Genomic DNA, 23,228 nt, shown 5'->3' with positions numbered 1-23,228 from the left:
ATGAGTGAGAACATGTCCTGTTTGGTTTTCTGTTCCTGTATTAGTTTGCTGAGGATGATGGCTTCCAGCTTCATCCACGTTCCTGCAAAGGATATGATCGCATTCCTTTTTATGGCTGCATAGTATTCCATGGTGTATATGTGGCACATTTTCTTTATACAGTCTCTCACTGATGAGCATTGGGTTGGTTCCATGTCTTTGCTATTGTAAACAGTGCTGCAATAAACATGGGTTTGGATGTGTTTTCCTAGTAGAATGATTTCTATTCCTTTGGGTATATACCCCATGATGGGACTGCTGGGCCAAATGGTATTTCATTTCTGGCTCTAGATCCTTGAGGAATGGCCACACTGTCTTCCATCAAAAAGCGGGCAAAAGATATGAACAGACACTTATCAAAGGAAGACATTCATGCAGCCAACAAACATATGATAAAAAGCTCAACATCACTGATCATTAGAGAAATGCAAATCAAAACCACAATGAGATACCATATCACACCAGTCAGAATGGTGACTATTAACAAGTCAAGAAACAATAGATGCTGGCAAGGCTGTGGAGAAATAGGAACGCTTTTACACTGTTGGTGGGAATGTAAATTAGTTCAGCCATTGTGGACGACAGTGTGCCAATTCTACAGCTTTTTTTCCTAGTTATAGATATTCTCAACATTTTACTGTTTTTAAATACATAAGTATTGTCATTTATGTTATCAGTTAGGCAATTTTGACGTTTCTGCAGATACTTTCGTACACAAAAAAAGGCCAGCTCACTCTTTTATTATTATTATTATTATTATTATTTGTTTATTTTGAGACAGAGTCTTGCTCTGTCACCCAGGCTGGAGTGCAGCGGTGCTATCTTGGCTCACTGCAACCTCTGCCTCCCAGGTTCAAGCGATGCTCCTGCCTTGGCCCCCCAAGTAGCTGGGATTACAGTCGCCTGCTATCACGCCCGGCTAATTTTCGTACGTTTAGTAGAGACGTGGTTTCATCATGTTGTTCAGGCTGGTCTCAAACTCCTGATCTCAAGTGATCCACCTGCCTTGGCCTCCCAAAGTGCTGGGGTTACAGGCGTGAGCCACTGTACCGGGCTTCAATTCACTCTTACATAATGCACATACCAATGAAAAATAGGTAGATACAGTTCTGCTTGAAATGAAACACACAGGCTTCTTCCGAACCCAGAATTTCATGATTTACTAAAGCTATTCATACTGCATATCATGTCTTTAGAGACGTGGAAGATTCCATTCAGCAAATAATTTCAGTAGCTGTTTTAGTGAAATGAACACTGGAAAAAGATTACTTTTCTCTACCATAAAACATTGTTCTGCATACATCACTTTGTTGGAGGCGAAAAAATAAAAATAAAAATGATTGCACTCTTGTTTCTCTTTTTATTGTACTTAATAATAATAAAGAAATTGTTGGGCGTGGTGGCTCCCGCCTGTCTTCCCAGCACTTTGGGAGGCCAAGGCGGGTGGATTACTTGAGGTCAGGAGTTCGGGACCAGCCTAGCCATCACGATGAAACCCTGTCTCTACTAAAAATACAAAAATTAGCCAGGTGTGGTGGTGGGCACCTGTAAACCCAGCTACTTGGGAGGGTGAGGCAGAAGAATCTCTTGAACCAGGGAGGCGGAGGTTGCAATGAGCCAAGATCACACCACTGCACTCCAACGGGCGACAGAGCGAAACTCTGTCTCAAAAGAAGAAGAAGAAGAATAAGGAAATTATACTTAGTTCAATAAAATGAGCACTTTTCTTCCAATTCTTGAAAATAGCCTGAATTCTGATTCATGGATACAAAGTTAGATTTCAGATTATATAGTTCAACTTTACTGATTTCTCTGGTCCAATATGCAATGCATTAAAATGACATGATGAAGGAAAGGCCCATTCTTTAAACAGATGACTCGAACTTTCAATTACAGTTGGTACCAACAACTACAGCTGATGTCTACAGTCCCCACTCCTAGAGCTGCCTCCACTTTAGTAATATCATTCGCCTGCCTTACACCACCAGCATCTCCAACTTTCACCAACACACGCCACAGGAGCTCACCACCAAAAGGCGGCAACGATCAATCAACTGAAAGTAAAACAAAATTAAAAATAAAAATTCAACTCTACTAAATACTTCAAAAACTGAGAGAAATAATGTGGGTCCTCAGGGTTTTTAAAATCCTTATAAAAACTAATATATTAACATACTACCATTACTAGTGGTTCGGTGAGATAAATCAGGCTTTCAATCTTCAGCCACTTGACCAATTTATCTTTTTTATTATTTGTTTATTTTTATTTTTATTTTTTTTGAGACAGAGTCTTGCTCTGTCTCGCAGGCTGGAGTGGTCTCGCCTCACTGTAACCTCCATCTCCCAGGTTCAAATGATTCTCATACCGCAGCCTCCTGAGCAGATAGGATTACAGGTGCCCACCACCACACCCAGCTAATTTTTGTATTTTTAGTAGAGATGTGGTTTCGCCATGTTGGCCAGGCTGGTCTTGAACTCCTGATCTCAGGTGATCTGCCTGCCTTGGCCTCCCAAAGTGCTGGGATTACAGGCATGAGCCACTGTGCCCGGCTCAATTGATCATTTTTAAAAGTAGACAGGGCATCCAACAATACCTAGAGTTAGCAATGCAGGAAGAATACAAAAATATTTTACATAATTTATAAGAGTAACAATAAGGTTGTTTGTCCTTCACATTTCTCTTGTACTCTGTAGCAAAAAAGACCAGAATAATGTAAATATGTTATTCATTATTCAAAAAGTTCATGTGATCCATTTCAGTAGAGAAAAAATGCACTATCAACAGGAATTTTCTGCCAAGTCTGCTCTTTTTTTGTTTGGTTCACTGAACTAAGTGCAAACCATCTGTTATCTATGATAATCAGAAAAAGTAAAAAATTCAAATAGCTTTTTTTTTTAAAAAAAAAGAGAGCACAATAGCACTCCAAACAGAACATACTTGTTTAAAAGCACCATTTATGAGGTTGAAACCCTAATGACTTTAAAAGTCTTTTTATTTTTAGATTAAGACTATATTTTCCCATTTTCTGGTAAAAGTATGCCATTTAATAAACTTGTTCATATCATAAGAATGTCACTCTACGAAAATAGCTTATCCAAATATATTAATTTCCAAGAAATTTCAAAATCTAAAAACTTCCTTTTCCACTCTTCCTGTAACACTTATTTCTAAATGCACTTCATCAGCTTCAAATATCTCTTTGAAAAATAATTTAATAGCTCATCATGAAATCTTTAGGGCATATTTCTATTACATGTTATTGTTAAATTAACAGAGTTTTTAAAATTTACTCATTTGTATTTTTTCTTTTTTCACTGACATGTAATAATTGTACATATTTATAGGACACAGAATATTTCAATATGTATATACTATAAGCAATGATCAAATAAGGGTAATTTGCATATCCATCACTTCAAATATTTTTCATCTCTTTGCATTGTGGATGTTCAAAATCCTTTCTTCAAAAAATTTAAAAAGGCCAGGTACAGTGGCTTATGCCTATAATTCCTGCACTTTGGGAGGCCAAGGCGAGAAGATCATTTGAGGCCAGGAGTTCAAAACCAGCCTGGGCAACACAGTGAGACCCCCGTCTCCACACACACAAAAATAATAATAATGCACACACACACACACATTTAAATAGTTTCCAGCTTTTTAAAATTATATAATAAATTATAGTTAACCATTAAAATCTAAAAATGTTAAGTTGTAATTGTACTGATCCCCAATTTAAAAATTCCACATAGGCCAGACACAGTGGCTCACGCCTGTAATCGCAGCACTTTGTGGGGCCGAAGCGGGTGGATCACAAGGTCAGCAGATCAAGACCATCCTGGCCAACATAGTAAAACCCCATCTCTACTAAAATACAAAAAAAATTAGCCAGGCATGGTGGTGCCCGCCTATGGTCCCAGCTACCTGGGAGGCTGAGGCAGGGGAATCGCTTGAACCTGGGAGGTGGAGGTTGCAGTGAGCCAAGATTGCACCATTGCACTCCAGCCTGGCAACAGAGTGAGAGTCTGCCTCAAAAAAAAAAAAAAAAATTCCACAAATAAGTAGTGCATTCTAGTAATTATTATTTGTTTTCACAAAAACAGAATGGTCTGATTTTTCAACATGCTTGGACTCTAGTCTTCACTCTACCCCTAGCTGTCTAACCTCACATGAGCCGAGATTGCGCCACTGCACTCCAGACAGGCAACAAAGCAAGAGTCTGTCTCAAAAAAAAAAATTCCACAGAAGTAGTGCATTCTAGTAATTATTATTTGTTTTCACAAAAACAGAATGGTCTGACTTTTCAATATGCTTGGACTCCAGTCTTCACTGTATCCCTAGCTGTCTAACCTCAGATGAGTTACACCTCTCAAGATCTCAGTCTCTTAACCTATAAAAAGAGCGTTCTAAAATGTCATTCTGAGGCACTTACTTCTCTTCCATATTCGTCTAGCACCGTGCCAGAAACTTGATAACTGTCCACGGCGAGGGAGGCTAGAAAGGAACGTGTCCAAAGCCTCTGAAATTTCGCACAGGACAGTTTTAAATGTACTGTGAAGTTTACGCTTTAAAATACAAAACCAACTACCACAACAGTGTCTCACCATTTTTATAGTGATATAACCAAATGAATTTCCAGGACACCTAGACTTATTCATGTTATCAATCCTCTTTAAAGAAAATAGTGATTTTTGTTATAAAAATGAAATTCTGCTAAGTTTCAAGAGAGTTTAAAGCAGGCACCAGCCCAGCACTTGTTTTCACAGCTCTAGTACTACAAATTTTATCAACACCCACTATTGTCTCTGAATGGCATGTAAAAGTGCTCTGTGCTATGTTCTTGATGAATTGTACAGACACAAGTCCTACTCCACCTACACAACCACTATGCCACAAATGCAACGCATTTAAAAGAGGGCTTTCTTTTGCAATAAAACATTACAAATCCTAACTACAAGTAAAGCAAGTGTTGCAAGAGATAATTTTTCAGTAGCTAAATCAGCATTAAAATTCCTCACTTCGTCTCAATATTATACCTTAAGCATGTTATTAAACAAACATTAACTGTAAAAGGAAACGCTATGGGTTAGTTATTTTACATTGTAAAAACTGATAAGGCCCTGCAAGGATGCTTCCACTGGTCTTTAGTATGATTCAGTTCTACTCAACTGTAAGTTTATTAAATCTCAGAGATTTCTACAAGAATATCCGTATCAGACTGACATTGAACTGGCAAGATTAGATTTCAAATGTCACACTAAAGATGCTCCAATTTTAGATAAGAAAAGAGGGCACTGACTATGCTTACCCATTTTTTTTCTGTTTATGTCAGACATTTACAAATACTCAGTTTAAATTATCTCAGCCAAAACTCAAGTAAATTTGTTTCTGGCCCATAGGAAGACATTGAAATCTACGAGTCTAAGAATCTGGAGGAAAGAAAGATGGCGAGGCTGGAGATCACTGAAGTCAAGTATACCCTTGAGGCCAGGGAACAGCATCCACCATGGCACTAGTTGAGAAGGGTCATTGCTATGTTACTGTCATACCTCTGTGACTCAGAGTGACCCCAACTGCCACATCTACCTCTGGGCCAGTTCTCAGCCCCAACTTGGAGGCCATAAGCGGTCTTCTTCAGCAAGAGGAAAGGATGCATGACCAAGAAGGCCCCATCCTGCTCACAGGATTCTCTCCTAAGATATTTCTTCGAGAAGTTGAAATGGTTTCTGCATTCCAAGGTTCTTATCTTGGGTTTCTGAAACCCTAGTTGCCCACTGGTTGGAATGTGGGAAGTCTTGACCTTCCAGAAATCTTACACAAAATTGCCAGAGGGAAGAGGCACAGTTTACATACAGATGTGCATTCTTTTTTACAGGGAAGTGAACTGGATGGGATCGGGTGGGCGGCGGGGGGGTGGGGGGTGGTACATGCTTCCATCACTTAATTTCCTTAACTCCCCTAAAACATCAAGGGAGCCACTGCTGCACAGAACAGCTGCTATGATCTTAGAGTTCTTCTTTCCCACAGAGGCACGAATGTAAACAGAATGGCCAGCAGATCGGAGTAAAGGAGGAGGAGCTCCTTCTCTGTGTATCAGGGAACTATGGGAACCATTCATGCAAATGCCTTTCATTAGAAAAAACTGTAAAAGTCACGCAATCTTTTCTTTTTCTGGACCTGAATTTCTTTAGTTCTCCTGTTTGAGTCAGTTACTCAATCTTTTAAGAGTTGCAGTAAAATTTCAGAGACTGCTCAAACAGTATGGCGCTTAAGTTGTAAATATTATACAATTCTACCTAAAAAGAGTATGACCTTTAACTTCTCCAAATGTATTAATAAAAGTTGGTAATAAAGATGAAAGCCAAAGAGAAGACGATGTGGTAGAAGAGTAACTGAGAACATATATGGGTTCTCTAAGGAATGCATATAGAAATACAATTGATAAACCGGATAGAATTAATTGTTACTTTGGTCACTCAAAATGACCTCAATTTTATCCCATAATAAGAACCACTGGCAATTCTATCAAGTATGGGCTCCGCCAATTAGAATTACATAAACATTTAAAAATATCACTGCAATACAAGACTTTAAAGTATGAAATAATTTAAAGTGCAACTAATTGAAAGGTAAGGGTTTCAATCCCCTAGACACTGAACTCCATAAGAAACTGACCAGTGGTCCAGGAGAGCCACAAGATCTCATTTACCACCGGCCTCAATCTCACTAAGCACTTGGCACATTCTCAGAGGGCACACAGCTGGTGCCCAATACTTACTCCTCACTGAGGCTCACTAAACACTCAGCAGTGCCATTTTGTTTCAGGATGATCAATAAACTGAATTCTTAGTAGTTTGTTATTCTTCTACCAATGCCTTCACAAAGGTCCAGATCAATGCAAAACGCCAGGCCTCTGAGTTGAAATCGAAATCTCACTTTGCTTGGGGAATCACAGCCAATGTGACTTCACTTTCTTGCCATAGGCTGCTGTGGAACAAAGGTAAATTCCTCATGTGGCCAAAACACACCTGAGTGTTGCTGAGGACTTAAGGATGGAGGGTCAAAACTCACCCCAGGCTCCTTCTAGGTTTCCCCAGAACTCAAGAGCAAAGACGTCTCCCAAACAATTGCTTAAATCACAACTGAATTAAAGAAACCACTTAAAACTTGCTGGTGAATTCAAACATAAATATAAAATTGTATTGTTTCATATGATCATTAAACAAAAAGTCCATACAGAGTAGCCTAAAGCTTTGAGCTCAGGCTTTTCCCACAGGAATTCATACCCACATTGATACAAATTATCATGAAGAGTTTCCATTTGAATTTTTGTCAGGACAAGTACCTTGGCAAGTTGCAAATATTCTGCGAACTATGAGCGCCGCGTATGAATAATAAGTACTCTTTGATACAAATTATCATGAAGAGTTGCCATTTGAATTTTTGTCAGGACAAGTACCTTGGCAAGCTGCAAATATTCTGCGAACTATGAGCGCCGCGTATGAATAATAAGTACTCTTTGCTAGAACAGATAAGGAACACCGCGGGAGTGAATATAAAGTGAATTTCAGGAAGGAAAAAACTCGCGATCTAAAGAAAAAGCCACCCTTCTGAAGCATAAAATTTTTTTCAATAAAGATGTTTTCAGCCGGGCGCGGTGGCTCACACCTGTAATCCCAGCACTTTGGGAGGCCGAGGCGGGCAGATCATGAGGTCAGGAGATCGAGACCACCCTGGCTAACGCGGTGAAACCCCGTCTCTACTAGAAATACAAAAAATTAGCCGGGCGTGGTGGCGGGCGCCTGTAGTCCCAGCTACTCGGGAGGCTGAGGCAGGAGAATGGCGTGAACCCGGGAGGCGGAGCTTGCAGCGAGCCGAGATCGCGCCACTGCACTCCAGCCTGGGTGACAGAGTGAGACTCTGTCTCAAAAAAAATAAAATAAAATAAATAGAAATAGAGATGTTTTCTACTTGAAGCAAAAACACACAGAAGAAATTTGTGAAAATTTTATTTACGAATTGACTTATGGAAAGTTCATTTAAAATTTTATTAACTTATATAATATTTTTAAATAATAATATAATGAACATGCACCCAGCACCCAACCCAAGACCTAAAATGAATACTATTTACTGCCCATGTAAGAACCAATCATGGTATTATAGCAGTGTGCCGTGAAGAATTATGATTAAAGAATTTGGAGCACCTGAGGTCCATTGAACAAAAACCTTGTGAAGTGATTCCCCTAGGAAAAATGGACTCATTCCAGGATTCCTTTAAATAATCTGCCTGAGTAGACTAAAAACTGTGAATCAATTTCTTGTCCAAAACCCCCTCCACCCAACCTCTCAGGAATGATTATCAAAAATTTTCTAAAAGGTACATTCACAAGAACCAGGAACCTGGAAAGTGAATCAGTGATACTCAACTCCGTAACTTCATGGAAATCTTCCTTGTGCAATGGAAGAGCAATATCTTATAGGAATTGAAGTCCAGTAAAGATTCTTTTAAAATATTTTTTTCTTCTACTAGGCCAATGGTAGGACACTAAACTGAATGTGTTCCCTTCTAACAGAAGAACTCTTCCCTCTCTAATATGGAATAGGCACAAATCTTTCCACTGTCAACATTTTTTTTTTATCAGTCCTTTTTCCATTCCAACGTGCAAGCCAAGATTGAAATCAGCACTAACCTGTAAGGGCTCACTGCTTTCCTGCTGGTCTTCAGAGAGTCTCCTGCTGGGAGAAGCAATGATGGGAGTGATAACTAAAGGACTCATGTGATTTCTCCATTCTTTTTTTTTCAAACCTCCACCTCCCAGACTCAAGCGATCCTCTCACCTTAGCCACAGATATACTCCCACCATACATATATATACGTATATATATAATTATATATACATATGGTGGGAATACATATATATATATAATTGTAGGACGACTTAGGAGGACTTGATGAAGCCAAAATGGGTTAAGGAAAGAAGAGAATTTTCCCCACAACTGTGGGAAAAACTAGTAAGAATCAACAAGGGACATACAAATTCTTTGTTGTGTATTGTTCACCAAATATTCCAAAAATGAATATAACACAGTTGGGACTTTTTTTTTTTTTTTAAGCTCCTGTTACAAAGGTCATGGAATGTTCTCGCATCACTCGCCTTCCCGATACTGAATCCCAGATTAGGCTCAGTTCTGTAGAGGGGGGCTAGTACGCAGCAGTGCCAGAATGGGTGTGTGGGTATTGCTTTCATTTTTTTATCTCATTTTACATATTTTATATTTTATGTTTTGCAGGAGGATGGGGATACGGTGAAAAATTAAATTCATGACATTTGCAGCACTAGAATGCTCCAGCTTCATGATTCAGTCTTGGGTGTATAAAGTCCCGTATCAAGAAATTTCAAGATTTTCCACAACACATCACATCCATACACACCCAGAATAACAGGGGACCACATGTCTCTGAAGAGAGAGATTCATACTAAAAGTCTAAATAAAAGTCTAAATAATACTAAAAGTCTAAATAAGAGACGTGACCCACATATTCAAATCCAGCCTCTAAAATAGCCTTATTAACTCAAATCTTCTCTCAAGTCAATACTAATTATACTTACCAGTGAGGTCAGCGTAACAGCAGCAGAGGCCTTTCTCAGAAATATTTAAACTTTAAGAGTCCATAAGAGGCCGAGCACAGTGGCTCAGGCCTGTAATCCCAGGACTTTGGAAAGCCGAGGCAGGCGGATCACTTGAGGCCAGGATTTCGAGACCAACCTGGGCAACATGGTGAAACCCCATCTATACTAAAATTACAAAAAGTAGCCGAACATGGTGGCACACGCCTGTAATCCCAGCTACTCGGGAGGCTGAGGCATGAGAACTGCTTGAACCCACGAGGTGAAAGTTGCAGTGAGCCAAGGTCGCACCACTGCACTCTAGCCTGGGCGTCAGAACGAGACTCTGTCTCAAAACAGAAAAAAAAAAAAAAGTCGATAAGAATGTGAAAAGCAACAGCATACTGCTTGCTTCCATAGACTGATATATAACAGTTTCCATTACTAAGATGGACAAGAAAAATTAATAGGTGATTCATGCTGTGATTACCTTAACTAATTGAAGCCTGATGGAAATGAACTCCTACTTGGCTGGGATTCTGTGTGTGTGTGTGTGTGTGTGTGTGTGTGTGTGTGTGTGTGTGTATGTGTGTGTTGAGACAGAGTCTCGCTCAGTCACCCAGGCTGGAGTGCAGTGGCACGATCTCGGCTCACCGAAACCTCCACCTCCCAGATTCAAGCAATTCTCCTGCCTCAGCTTCCCAAGCAGCTGGGATTACAGGCACCTGCCACCAAACCTGGCTAATTTTTGTATTTTTATTTTTTATTTTACTTTAAGTTCTGGGATACATGGGCAGAACACACAGGTTTGTTACATAGGTATACATGTGCCATGGTGGTTTGCTGCACCTATTAACCCAATTTTTATATTTTTAGTAGAGACGGGGTTTCACCATGTTGGCCAGGCTGGTCTTGAACTTCTGGCCTCAAGTGATCTGCCCGATTTGGCTGCGTTTTGTCAATATCATCCACAACATTTCCATAACCACAAACACCACTTCTAAAACAAGAGCTAGAAAGTCAAGTAAAAGGGAAATATAAGAGGAATGCGGACAAATTTGTTACTACTAGTAAAATAAAAATGTCCAGCACATGTGATTTTGATGATGAAATAGTAGCATCGCCTTCATGTATTAGAGAGAGCATGTAAATTACTTGCTTTGCGGCACAGACAGGTCTGAAATCGTCTGCTTAGAAGTGGTGGTATTTTTTAATAGAGTACAGCAAAATAAAAAACTGCTCTTAAAATCCATCAATGGAGTTCCCCAAATGTAAACATAATTATAGAATCCCTCTAAAACCGGAGTTACACATTACTTTTTTGATTTTCCAGTGTACAGAGTAGAAAGTAAGTTTTCAATGAAGGAATAAATACATTTGAAGACAGATAAAACATCTTTTCTCAAACTGTTGAAATCAGTGGCATTCACTCAACAATAAAGACATATAAGCATGTGTTATGTGACACATACTATATTAGGTACTAAAATGAAAAGTTATTAAAATGGAAGACAATGACAAGAACAATTCCATTAGTTTTCTGTTGTCATTCAAGGTTGTATCTATATGGTTTTTAATATCCAGATTAAAGTTTTAGAAATTAATTAACAGCTTCGATTTTCAAGCCCATTTAGACAAGTGCTATCACTTAAGTGAAATCTTAGTTAACTAAGTTTTTCAGGATTCATTTGGATGACAAAGCATTCAAATGATGCACCCAAAACTAAATATGTGAGTATTTAGAAATATATTCCACTGAAAGCTTTTGCTTTTGTTCTAAATGTTTGGCATCTAGTAGGTAGTCTATAAGAGTCTTTAAAATCAGTGTGTTCATATCTACATGTTTGGGGGAAATAAAGCAAACAGCAACATGAAGGTGCTCCCAAGATTCTGTTCTGAAAGTTGTCCACCAAAGGGCACCAAAGTAAAACCAGCAGATGGCTCTGAACACACAGAGAGAGAAGGGGGGAGAGAGAATGGAGGGAAGAGGGACAGAGAGAGGGAGAGAGAAATGAGGGAGAGAGGGGGAGAGAGAGAGAGAGACAGAGAGAGAGGAAGAGAGAAAGGAGGGAGAAGGAGGGAAAGAGGGGGAAAGAGGGATAGAGAGGGAGGGAGAGAGGGAAAAATAAAACAAGAGAAGACAGAGGCTAGGTGAAATAGAGAAGTTGCCAGAGGACTTCTGGGAAAAAACATTTGAAAAGGAAGGACTGAAAAGAGAAGAAATGGGCACAACGGGGACTCCGGGTCTGGCCATAACAGCCAGGAGAAACAAGGGCTTAAGCCAGGAGGTCTGAAAAGAGAACAGAAGGTAGACCACCTAGAATGGGGACAAGGCACTTCCACTCTGCAAAGGTGAGTGTGCTTGCAGTGCAAAGCAAGAAACGTGAACTTTAAAATTCTTCAGGCACATGTGTTCAAAAGGCAAAGATACATGAGAATGCAAGATGAAAAACTCCAGCGCAAGATCAGGCTTTTTAAACTGCCACAGCTCCCCTGTCTCCCCAGCTAGCTTCTATTCGCCTTCCCAGGCTCCTAAGCCCAGTGACAGGAGAGACTCTGGAATGATCAGAGATTCTGGAATGAAAAGAGCTATGCCCACTGCTTAGGAGGCCAAGGATTCTGCAAACTGATCCCCGCAGATACCACAGCGCTTTACTCTGGTCTCCAAGGCCATGGCACACCCTAAAAGATTAAAATGCCTTAAGGTAAATGACCATTCCCAGATGAAGGCACAGAATGTAAACAAAGTGTGGGCCGAGGGAAGAAACTTGAAAAATCACAATAAAGTGGCCTCCCAGAGCAGGCAACTAGCAACTTTGTAGGAAAAGGAGAGGGAAGAAGTCCTGTGTTCTGCACTGAGAGATCATTTCATGTCACGCTTCAGTGCAATTAAAATAAAAAAGGATTTACTAATTACAAAGCAATCCTAACAAGGTACATAATACAGAATATTCACATCTTATACATCTCCTAGAGAAAGATTACAAACACAGAATGTTTCACCTTCCGGAGGAGATAATTATTAACTTTTAAAGACTAGCTCAGGCAAGAATGAAAAAGTATCAAGTCAAGGCCACATACATTCTAATTTTATAACCCAGGCGGCCCTGGATGGGATTCAGAGAGCTCTTATTTGAATAAGATCTGACGATATCCTCTCATTAAAAGGATTAGTGTTTCTGCACAAACGTCTAGATAAATCTTATTACTGGTCCAAAATTAGTCACCTAAAGGCTTTAGCCAGTTTTGCACAAATATTTACAACTCTGAAGAGGCTGAGTACTTTTTCTCTTGAAATCCAGGCACTATATCCACTTCAAAAGCCACATATGATTGTGGCTTTTGCTGAGCATATTTCTTTTCGACGAGTTGAAGATGACAATCTCTCAATACCTTACTCCATAGACTGGATGTAAGCGTCAAAAGAGGATGAAAAGGTACTTTCTGAACGGACAGGTACTCTGGGGTGATGGGTTGGGAGATTCTCTAAGCCTCAAGAACAGCGTTTCATGAAACGGGCTTATAAAATACAGCCCATCTCAAACGGATTTTAAAAGGCACCCAGTTACTTTAAAATACCCAATACAAACACCAAGACGGGCTATTTTACCAGGTCCCCTGCAGAATGTGAAGGGGCTTCCAGCGCTCCAAGCCGGCTTTCTAATTTAAGCCAAGAACCGAAAAGGAGCGAAGGCGGCTTCGGGGACCCCGGCAGCGTGCAGGGCCAGGAGGTTCAGCCTGCCCACCCGGAGAGGGGTGCGCCGAGCTCCTCTGGAAATAGTGACTGAAGGGTCCCCGCGAAGTCGCCGTGCCAGCCCCTCTCCCAGTTCCAGCGGTCCCCGAAGTCCCCGGGCAGAGCCGGCTGCACAGGGACCGGACGAGGCGAGGCGCATTCCGGGGCGCAGCCCCGAGGACGAAGGTCCACGGCTTCAGCCCCAGCCCACGGCCCCGACTCCCTGACGAAGACTCGCTGGAGCGCGGCCTCAGGGCAGCTGCGCGCAGCTGGACTCGTCCCCGGGAGCCCTCGACCCTCTAGTTCCCCGCCGGCCCCAGGGCGCCCTCGCCCCGCTCCTTCCCCGCCGGCCCCAGCGTCCGGGCTGCCCCTCGCCCGCGGCCTCTCGGCGGGGCTGGAGACCTAGCAACTTACTGGGGCTGGGTTGGGGTCGCGCCAAGAAGGCGGCGGTGGGCTGCCGGCTGCAGCGCGTCGGGGGCCCGCGGCTGGGGGACGCTGGAGCAGCGGCCGCCGCCTCGCTGGTCCCGCGAAGAGGAGCGCCCGCCGGCCGCGCTGCAGAAGGAGGGCTGGGCACGTGGGCGCCCCTCTGTGTAGCCACCCGGGGCGGGGGCGGGGCGCGGGGCCGGGCGGCACCGCCTCCTCCGCGCTCCCGGAACGCGACCCCGAGCCCGCCTCCCGCCGGGCCCCGGCCGCGCTGACCAATCCCCGGGGTGGGCGGTGTGCGGCCGCTGCTCAGCGGGGTTTGCCTGGAGCCGAGCACACGTGGGCGGGCGCTAGCCCCGGGCTAGGCCGGTGGGCGCGGGCCGGGGAAGAGAGGCTGCGCGCGAGGATAAACTTCGTGCTCTCCTGGGAGGACCAAACCTCAAGGGCATTTCCGAATCTTCTAAGCAGAGTTCTAAGTGGGGTTTTGGTCCCCCCGTTTACTTTCCATTCTACAAAGATTTTGGAAATAAGAAAATAATAATAAAATATAATAATAGCAATGATAAATGGAAGCCCAGGTGGATGTGCTTTGTCAAATGCAAACTAAACGTTGATAAATAATGTGCAGTTGCTATTTTGGAAGACTCCAGTGGTATGAATACGTAGTCACGATTGTTTGGGGGTGGGTTTATAGGAAATGACATTATTTCCAGGGGAGCAAGAGCAGAAGTTACACAATCAGGGTTTCTCCTACTGCGCTATTGTTTACTTTAGGAGTCTCTGATAAGATTAAGTCACAATGTGAAAGCCTGTTAATTTTCATCCAAAACGAAGCAAAACACGCACTGAATTGAACAATAAGTGTGTGTCAGTGTGTGTGTGTATATGTGTGTGTGGTTTGTCTTTAGAGACAGGGTCTCACTCTGTCGCCCAGGCTGGAGGGCAGTGACACAATCGTGGCTCACTGCAGCCTCGACCTCCTGGGCTCAAGCTATCCTCCCGCCTCAGCCTCCCAAAGTGCTGACAACTACAGGCTTGAGCCACCAGGCTGAGAATTACAGGCTTGAGCCACCATGCCCGGCCTATTACTATTTTTGTTTGACAGAAAGGTCCACTTTACTTTGCATAGTATTGGAGTAAACGTCCCTTTAACCCACCTACTAGTAATAACTTTGGCAAAGTGCCAGATTTGTATTGCTGCCTCACAGTACATATACAATTTTAATGTGATATTCTAAATCATTCTTCCCTTCAAGACATATATCCCCAAGATCATCTAATAAACGGTGTGGGGCTTCATTCCAGAAGATAGCACACACACAAAATCTCAATGTATCTCAGGAAGCCATCCATGGATTTCATCAAAAAGTGAAAGTGTAGGCTGGGGGTGGTGGCTCACGCCTGTAATCCCAGCACTTTGGGACGCCGAGGCGCGCCGATCACCTGAGGTCAGGAGTTCGAGACCAGTCTGGCCAACAGGGTGAAACTCCGTCTCTACTAAAAATACAAAAATTAGCCGGGCGCGGCGGCGGGCGCCTGTAACCCCAGCTACTCGGGAGGTTGAGGCAGGAGAATCGCTTGAGCCCAGGAGGCGGAGGTTGCAGTGAGCCGAGATAGTGCCACTACAGTCCAGCCTGGGCGACAGAGTGAGATTCCGTCTCAAAAACAAAAGCAAACGAACAAAAAAACTGAAAGTTTAAACAGCACTATGATTACGAAGATATTATCTGATAGACCAAATGTCTTAAGTAATAGAGACTGTCAAAGTAAACTTATTTTTACAGTCAAAAAAAGATTCCTTATGCAAATTATCATTAATAACATTAAGGGAAATGATGCGTGTGGACTTTTAACACCAGATTCCTCCTCAATCCCACGGCTAGGAGGCGTTGTTCAAGGGAGCGATGACTCAGATACTTTGTCTAATTTTTAAGGGTGAGTAATCTGGTCTAACATTTTTCACCTGGTTTAAAAAAAATAGAGATTCCTGGGAGTCGCGGTGGCTCAGGGCGGTTGCCCTGGCACTCGAGGAGGCGAGGCTACACGTTCGAGGCCAACCTGGTCAACATTGATTAAAATAAAGAAAGAAAAAATAAAAAAATAGAGATTCCTATTTTTAAACTTAAGCAATTATTTCCCCACATATTTTTACTTAAAGGCTCTGTGTTTAAATCTGTTTAATTTGTGATTAAGTTACAACACAATGATTTGGGATAAACAAATTTATCTGGAATTTGGAAACTGCCAATTTTGTCAGAATACCGATCTTTGAATTTATCCAATCTGCCCGCCGGCGCACTTCCTGAAGCAAGAACGTGCTGTGTTCATGTGTGTGAATAAGAACAACAACTTCATCTCTAAGCAAAAAAAGAGCAAATTCTTTCAAACAACTTTCTAACAAGATTGCTGAATATCTTTACACACTAGTTCTTGACTTAACATATTCCATTTCGTGTTTGAAATTATTGATTAACCCTGAATCCTGCCTCATAACTTTGGTTATTTCTCACCTTTAAAAATGTGTTTAGATGAGGAAAGAATAGGATGCCCACGGATTTAGTATGAGTCTCTTAAGACAGACTATGAGACAAGAGAAAATAGAATCGAATTTTTAGAAATGAAATATTTGAAACAGGTTAAGCTCTTTTGACTTCATCTTCATTTGCATTTTCTCTTGCTGCCCGGGGTTGAATTAGCATCTTTTTCCCAGTTGAGTAAAATTTGCACCCACCTTCTATTTCACGCTCCCTGGTTTATTGCCATCACTTTTCACTTTCAGCCGTCAAGTTTCCTCCTTAGGAATGAAGCAGAAAATCCAACTTAGTCATTTTCAGCAGAGAGAGTAGCCTAGGTTGTCATCTTCCAAAGATTTCACAAACATTCTTGCATGTCTGAACTCTTAAGGGTTTATGAAATTGCGGGGAATTTTAAGGGACTTTTGTAGCTGAATAAATTCCACACCCTGTACTCCCACACTTGCCAAATACAACCTAAAGTAAATCTCATGTCCACAAATAAGGGATTTACTTCAACTAGCAAGACTGAAGGAATGGATTCTTACTAGTTCTAATTTGTGACTCTATTATTCCCCAAACTATTTTAGCGAAGACAAGCTAAAATCCTCCAATTTTTTTCAGATGGTTGGATACTGGATACTAATGCTTGTGCTGTCACTGAATCAACTCAAAAGGGAAAAAGAGTTGGACCAGAGTCAGAGCACTAGCTATTTGTTTGTTTTTTGAGACGGAGTTTCCCTCTGTCACCAGGCTGGAGTGCAAGGGCACGATCTCAGATCACAGCAACCTCTGCCTCCCGGATTCAAGCGATTCTCCTGCCTCAGCCTCCGGAGTAGCTGAGATTACAGGCGCTCACCACCACGCCTGGCTAATTTTTTTGTATTTTCAGTAGAGACGGGGTTTTACCACGTTGCCCAGGCTGGTCTCAAACTCCTGACGTCAGGTGATCCCGCCCACCTCGACCTCCCAAAGTGCTGGGATTAAAGGCGTGAGCCACCGCCCCGACCCAGAGCACTAGTTTTAAGAGCTTTCAGGCCACCGCTGTTCTCCACTCGCCTTTCAAAAATGTGTAAAAACCTAGAGGTGACTTTCCACTGGACAGAGTCCATATCTGCCCATCCCTTAAGGCAAGCAACAAAATATTGAAAAAATGGTTGGAAAAAAAATACAACAAGTCCATATAAATGACAAGTCGTCTTTCAAATTCATCTTCTTCTACTTGTCTTTCAACTAAGACCAAATCACCGTTTTGCAATGATTTTCATTCTACATTGCTCTTCCTACAAATTTCCCTGCCTCCTGTCACTTGGTGTCTTTCTGGGGTTTCTTTACATTGGCCATTCATCAGGAATGGCCCTGAGCTCCACCCGCCCCGTGCTAGTCTCTAATTCCTTCTGCCAGGATTCCTGCTGGGCCTCTTATCTGCTGGAAAAAGTCAGTTTTCTTAATCTAAACATCAGTTAGCCTGTTGCTCTAAGGACTGAAAACCAGGGATTTAGGAGGGAGCTCAGATAATCTAAATCCTCTCTTTTCTTTAACCTTGATGAGGGTCCTAATTGCTCCAGAAATCTCTTCCTAATCATATGCAATGGACCTTTCGCAGTTCTCTTGTGCCTCAAACTCGCTCCTGCTTTCTTTCTTTCTCGAAACTATCTCCTCCTTGGCTTCCACGGTCTCTTAGTTTTCCTCCTACTATCCTGAATAACCTTTTGTCTTGCTTGCTAACTAAGGCACTCTTAAGATTAAATTATTGAATCATTCTTAACTCCATCAATCTTCACAATCTAGGTTGTTATGCTTTTTTTTTTTTTTTTTTTTTTGAGACGGAGTCTCATTCTGTCACCCAGGCTGGAGTGCAGTGGTGCACTCTCAACTCACTGCAATCTCTGCCTCCTGGGTTCAAGCGATTCTCCTGTCTCAGCCTCCCGAATAGCTGGTATTACAGGCACGGGCCACCACGTCCGGCTAATTTTTTGTATTTTTAGTACAGACAGGGTTTCACCGTGTTAGCCAGGATGGTCTCGATCTCCTGACCTCGTGATCTGCCCGCCTCGGCCTCCCAAAGTGCTGGGATTACAGGCGTGAGCCTCCATACCCGGCTGAGAGAGTAATTTTTACCTCCTTTTCTACAAAAGAAAAAAATTAGAAACCACTCATCATGCTGGGGCAGAGAACGACAGAGAACGTGCCACTGCACTCCAGCCTGGGCGAAAGAGAGAGACTCCGCCTCTAAAAAAAAAAAAAGGAGGGGGTAAGGGGGTAATCCCCTTTTATCCGCGGGGGGGTATATGTTCCAAGACCCTCAGTGGATGCCTGAAATCACGGATAGTACCAAACCCTATATGTACAATTTTTTTTCTATGCATACGTACTGTGATAAAGTTTAATTTATAAACTAGACACAGTAAGAGATAACAACAATAACTAATGATAAAATAGAATAATTATAACAATATACTCTAATGAAAGTTACACGAATATGGTGACTCTCTCAAAATACCTGATATTAACAAAAATAACTATGATTTACTGTGGATAACTGAAAACACAGAAAGCTAAACCGTGGGTAAGGGAGGGGAGGTACTGTTGTACTCATGTGAAAATGTTACTGTTTAGCGCCCTCCAGGGCTTCTCTGAAGCCACATCAGAACATTAAATTCATTGAGCTCAAACAATGACAAGTAAAATTACCCTCTGGTAGTGGGGGAAAAGGAGGAAGGACTACTGGTTTCTTGCTTTTAAAGGAAAAACTTTAGCCAAAATAAATTTAAAGGAGCTTAATTGAACGAGGAACAATTCAAGAATCAGGCAGCCCCCAGAATCACAGCAGATTTAGAGAGATTCCAGCAGAGCCATGTGGTGGAAGAAGGTTTATAGACAAAAAAAAAAAAAAAAAACCCAAAAAACAGGAAATGATGTACAGAAATCGGAAGTGAGGGACAGAAACAGCTGGATTGGTTACAGGTTGGCGTTTGCCTTATTTGAACACCTTTTGAACACCGTTAGAACAGTTGGCTACATTTGATTGGCCAAAACTCAGTGACTGGCACATGTGTGGGCTACAGGCAGTTTACACCTCTACTTATTATAGTTCACAATGTACAGAAAAACCTTTAGGCTGAACTTAAATATGTAAGGAGACAGCTTTAGGCTAAACTTGATTAACATTGTCCAGCATGACTTTGATGTCTTTAATTGTCTGGCTCAGTCTCACCCAACGCATCCTTTAAAATGCTTTATGAGTTAGTAAAGTGTCCTAATGTATGAGTGCTTCAGAGAGTATGTTTTTAAAAGTTCCACCTGTTTTATTTTTATGTTTGGATTGGCACTAATTGATGCCCTTCAGCAAATTAAGCAGCCTTTTTTCCCTTTTGTGACCCAGACAAAAAGGCAAAGTCCATTTTAATGATAGTCTGGTCCACCAGCTTCTTTATAACAAGTCAATGCTAGCTTACTCAGTCAGAAGAACATCTGGGGTTCTTCCTCAATTATACAGAAGAATTGAAACTGCTGGATCTGATGGGGCTTGTCCTCTAGTCTTAACTATCCAATTAAACTACACTGTGCAGGGTAACTGTGCATTTTCTCCAGAAGCTTTAGAGGAAACTTGCTCTTTTGTGCTTTTACCTGGTGCTATGGTTTGGATATAGTTTGGCCCAGCCAAAACTCATGTTGAAATCTGACCCCTAATGTGTAGTGTTGGGAGTTGGTGCCTGATGGGAGATGTTTGGGTCACAGGGCAGGGCAGATTCCTCATGAATAGATGCTCATGCAGGAGTAAGTGAGTTCTCACTCTGTGGGAATGGATTAGTTCCTGTGAAAGCAAGAGCAGGTTGTTAAAGAGTCTGGCTTCCACAATCTCTCTCATTTCCTCCCTCGCCATGTGATCTCTTTGCATACACCACTCATCTTTCACTTTCCACCATGAGCGGAAGCAACTGAGGCCTTCCTCAGATGCAGCTGTCTAGCTTTGAACTTTCCAGCCACCAGAATCACAAGCCAAATACACCTCTTTTCTTTATGAATCACCCAGTCTCAGGTATTCTGTTACAGCAATGCTAAATGGACTAAGTCACCTGGAAATGGGGAGACTGAGCTCTTACAGCCAGGCTAAACCTGAAGAAGATCCTGGCCTCACCTGGAGGGCACTCCAGTTCTGCTTAGGTTTTTGTTTTGCTCTTTCCTAAGATTCAATGCTGGAGAAGAGATTATAAAATAAACAGATATGATTTCATATAAATGTGTAGTATAATAAAAAAAATTAATCCTACTGGATGCTAACTTAACTAAATTTATGATTTTGAGCAAAAAAATTCCTCACTTCCATATTTTTAAGTTTCTTTTTCCTGTGAACTGGGGCAATAATAGTTAATTTCTACAGAAGATTGTAAGGAGTTACACAAGGGAATGAAAACACTGTGAGGAAGTTAAATCACTAAATTTTTACTCTTATATCCGTTTATACCTTCATCAGTCTAAAATTTGGTTCCAAATACAATTTAAAGTTAAAAATCTAACTCTTCTCAGGTCATAGATGTAAATCATGTAATGAGGGATTATCTTTATCCATTACATTAAGACAAATAAACTAATGCTTTAAAAAACCTGACATTTTTAAACCAGATTGCTCTATCCAAGGAGTTGTTCAACACTAGTTCCATCTATGAGGCCACCTTTGTGTGTCAACAGCAGTGATTGCCAGAGCGTGACCTATGAGCGTTAACTGGCAGAAAGGTCGTCAGCATGCTGCTCTTGCTGTTTCCCCTCCTGCCCTGCTGACCTTGTGTCTACCTGCTTCCCGGCATACTTGGAGATCAGAGACTATTGGTACAAAAAAATAACAAGAAGAAGAAAAATAGGAGAGGGGAGAAACATCATGAAATTATAATGTTTTAATTTTAAATGCTCAATCATGTCACAGCCTATGTAGGTGTTAGAGGCATTTGAACCAGAGCAACCTCATCTTAAATAGGAGCTGGGTAAAATGAAACTGAGATCTACTGGGCTGCATTCCCAGATGGGTAAGGCATTCTAAGACACAGGATGACATAGGAGGTCAGCATAAGATACAGATCACAAAGACCTTGCTGATAAACAGGTTGCAGTAACGAAGCATGCCAAAACCTAGTAGGCAAAATGACGATAAGAGTGATCTCTGGTTGTCCTCACTGCTACACTCCCACCAGCACTATGACAGTTTACAAATACCATGGCAATGACAGGAAGTTACCCTATATCGTCTAAAAAGGGGAGGCATGAATAATCCACCCCTTGTTTAGCATATAATCAAGAAATAACCTTAAAAATGGGCAACCAGCAGCCCTCGGGGCTGCTCTTTGGAGTACTCTTTCTTTTATTCCTTTACTTTCTTGGTAAACTTGCTTTTGCTTTGCACTATGTGGACCTGCCCTGAATTCTTTCTTGTGAGAGATTCAGGAATCCTCTCTTGAGGTCTGGATCAGGACCCCTTTCCCCCAATTTAGGCATGTGATCATTATAAAAGTATATAAAAATATGTTCAAATATATTATTAAATGCATCTAAGTATGGGTCTTAGAAAAATCCACTGGATCCCTTGTTTTAATGCAGAGGTAAAAATCTCAGCCTCCCTGCGCGACCTGGCAGGTAACACCGAAGTTTGAATTTAGTTGAGTACCAGACAATAGCGAGGTACTGAGAGAGTGGCTACGGAACTGGGAAAGCATTTGAAATGCAAACCTTGAAAAAAACCAGGCAGACAGGTAATATGCAATGCAGGCTGAAAATGTTTAACATGTTCTCTAAAGTTTACTCATATCATCATGTGGTCAATGGAAATCACTTATGAAAATGATTTTTAAAACCTCAAAAGGTGACTTACTCATTTGCAAAAGGCTTCGTAGAGATTTAATTTTCTGTAATATTCCAGTAGTGTATTCCCTTTAAGGTACTGTTTTGTTGATTTTTAAAACAAATAGAAAGCTTAGTGTATATTTCTTTCAAAAAAAACTGCAAAAGCTTATTTCCCATGAGAAACTCTACTTGTTTGTGTGGGAAACTATACAAAGGAGTTTATTAGCAATAAGACTGTGCATGATCATCAGAATGGCAAAGTAATCTTTTTTAACTGAGTGCATATTCTAATCCTCCTGTATGATTTATGTGAATAAAATGTTTGAAGTATTGTTGAGGAGGTAATCTTGACTAAATTGAACTTGACAGTAGCCCTTTATCCAGTTCCAATGTGCTTAGACTTTGAGGCGCATATAGAATCGGAGAGAATACTGGTTTAAAATATGATTCAGTGAGTACATTCCAGCAGTAGATAAAGTGCCTCAGGGCAATGAAAACTGCGTTGAATAAAATTAGCTTCAATATCCACAGTCTAACATTTCTTTTCGGGCAGGGGAGCGCTTGAGTTCGATGGGCTGGCTCACTTCATTTTGTGTTGTATTGTGGTGGTAATATCTAAGGAGATAGATAACCATTCATTTTGCATTGTGGTGATAATATCTAAGGAGATAGATAACCATTTGCAAAGGCATGCTGTAAATCCAGTTGTGCCAGAATTCCAGAAGGTTCCAGAAGATGTGGGCTACAGGTTGCAAGTCACCCTTGAGTTATGCAGAATACAACTTAGACAGCCTTATAAGCAGCCTCATCGAGGATCTAAGACTTAGATGAGCTGTTCCACGTAGGGAAGTTTCTCAAAGAAAAGAAATTTGTCCTTCTAAGTATCCAAATTTAAAATGGCTGTGTGTGTGTGTGTGTATATATATATATATATGCAAATGTTTTTTGCATGCATTTTAAAATTTAGTGTATAATTTGAGCCCTCTCAAAGAACATTTTCTTGCATCTTTCATTCATGACTATGAGCATGTAAGCAATTAGATCATTGCTTTGTAGGATGTTATCCCAGCAATTAT

General features: G+C 41.4%; 1 protein-coding gene across 10 annotated transcripts in view; it reads right to left on the bottom strand.

Annotated features, from left to right (window-relative positions):
- SLC7A2 (solute carrier family 7 member 2) overlaps nt 1-16,964 on the bottom strand; it is a 76,498-nt gene extending 59,534 nt beyond the window's left edge. For 2 of the 10 annotated variants that reach the window (NM_001370338.1, NM_001370337.1), the window contains exons 1-2: nt 13,796-13,945; nt 8,731-8,776 (exon numbers count right to left, since the gene is read on the bottom strand). The gene's annotated coding sequence lies outside the window, so the exon portion shown is untranslated. Of the gene's footprint in view, nt 1-8,730; nt 8,777-9,651; nt 9,720-13,795; nt 13,946-16,535; nt 16,716-16,865 lie in introns of those variants that run through there. The other 8 variants (XM_005273612.5, XM_047422115.1, NM_001008539.4 and 5 more) reach the window with 6 other exon arrangements.

Source organism: Homo sapiens, chromosome 8 (genome assembly GCF_000001405.40).
Source record: "Homo sapiens chromosome 8, GRCh38.p14 Primary Assembly".
Classification (NCBI taxonomy): Eukaryota; Metazoa; Chordata; class Mammalia; order Primates; family Hominidae; genus Homo; species Homo sapiens.
Note: the sequence above shows the minus strand (reverse complement) of the source record. Positions and strands in the feature narration are given on the sequence as shown.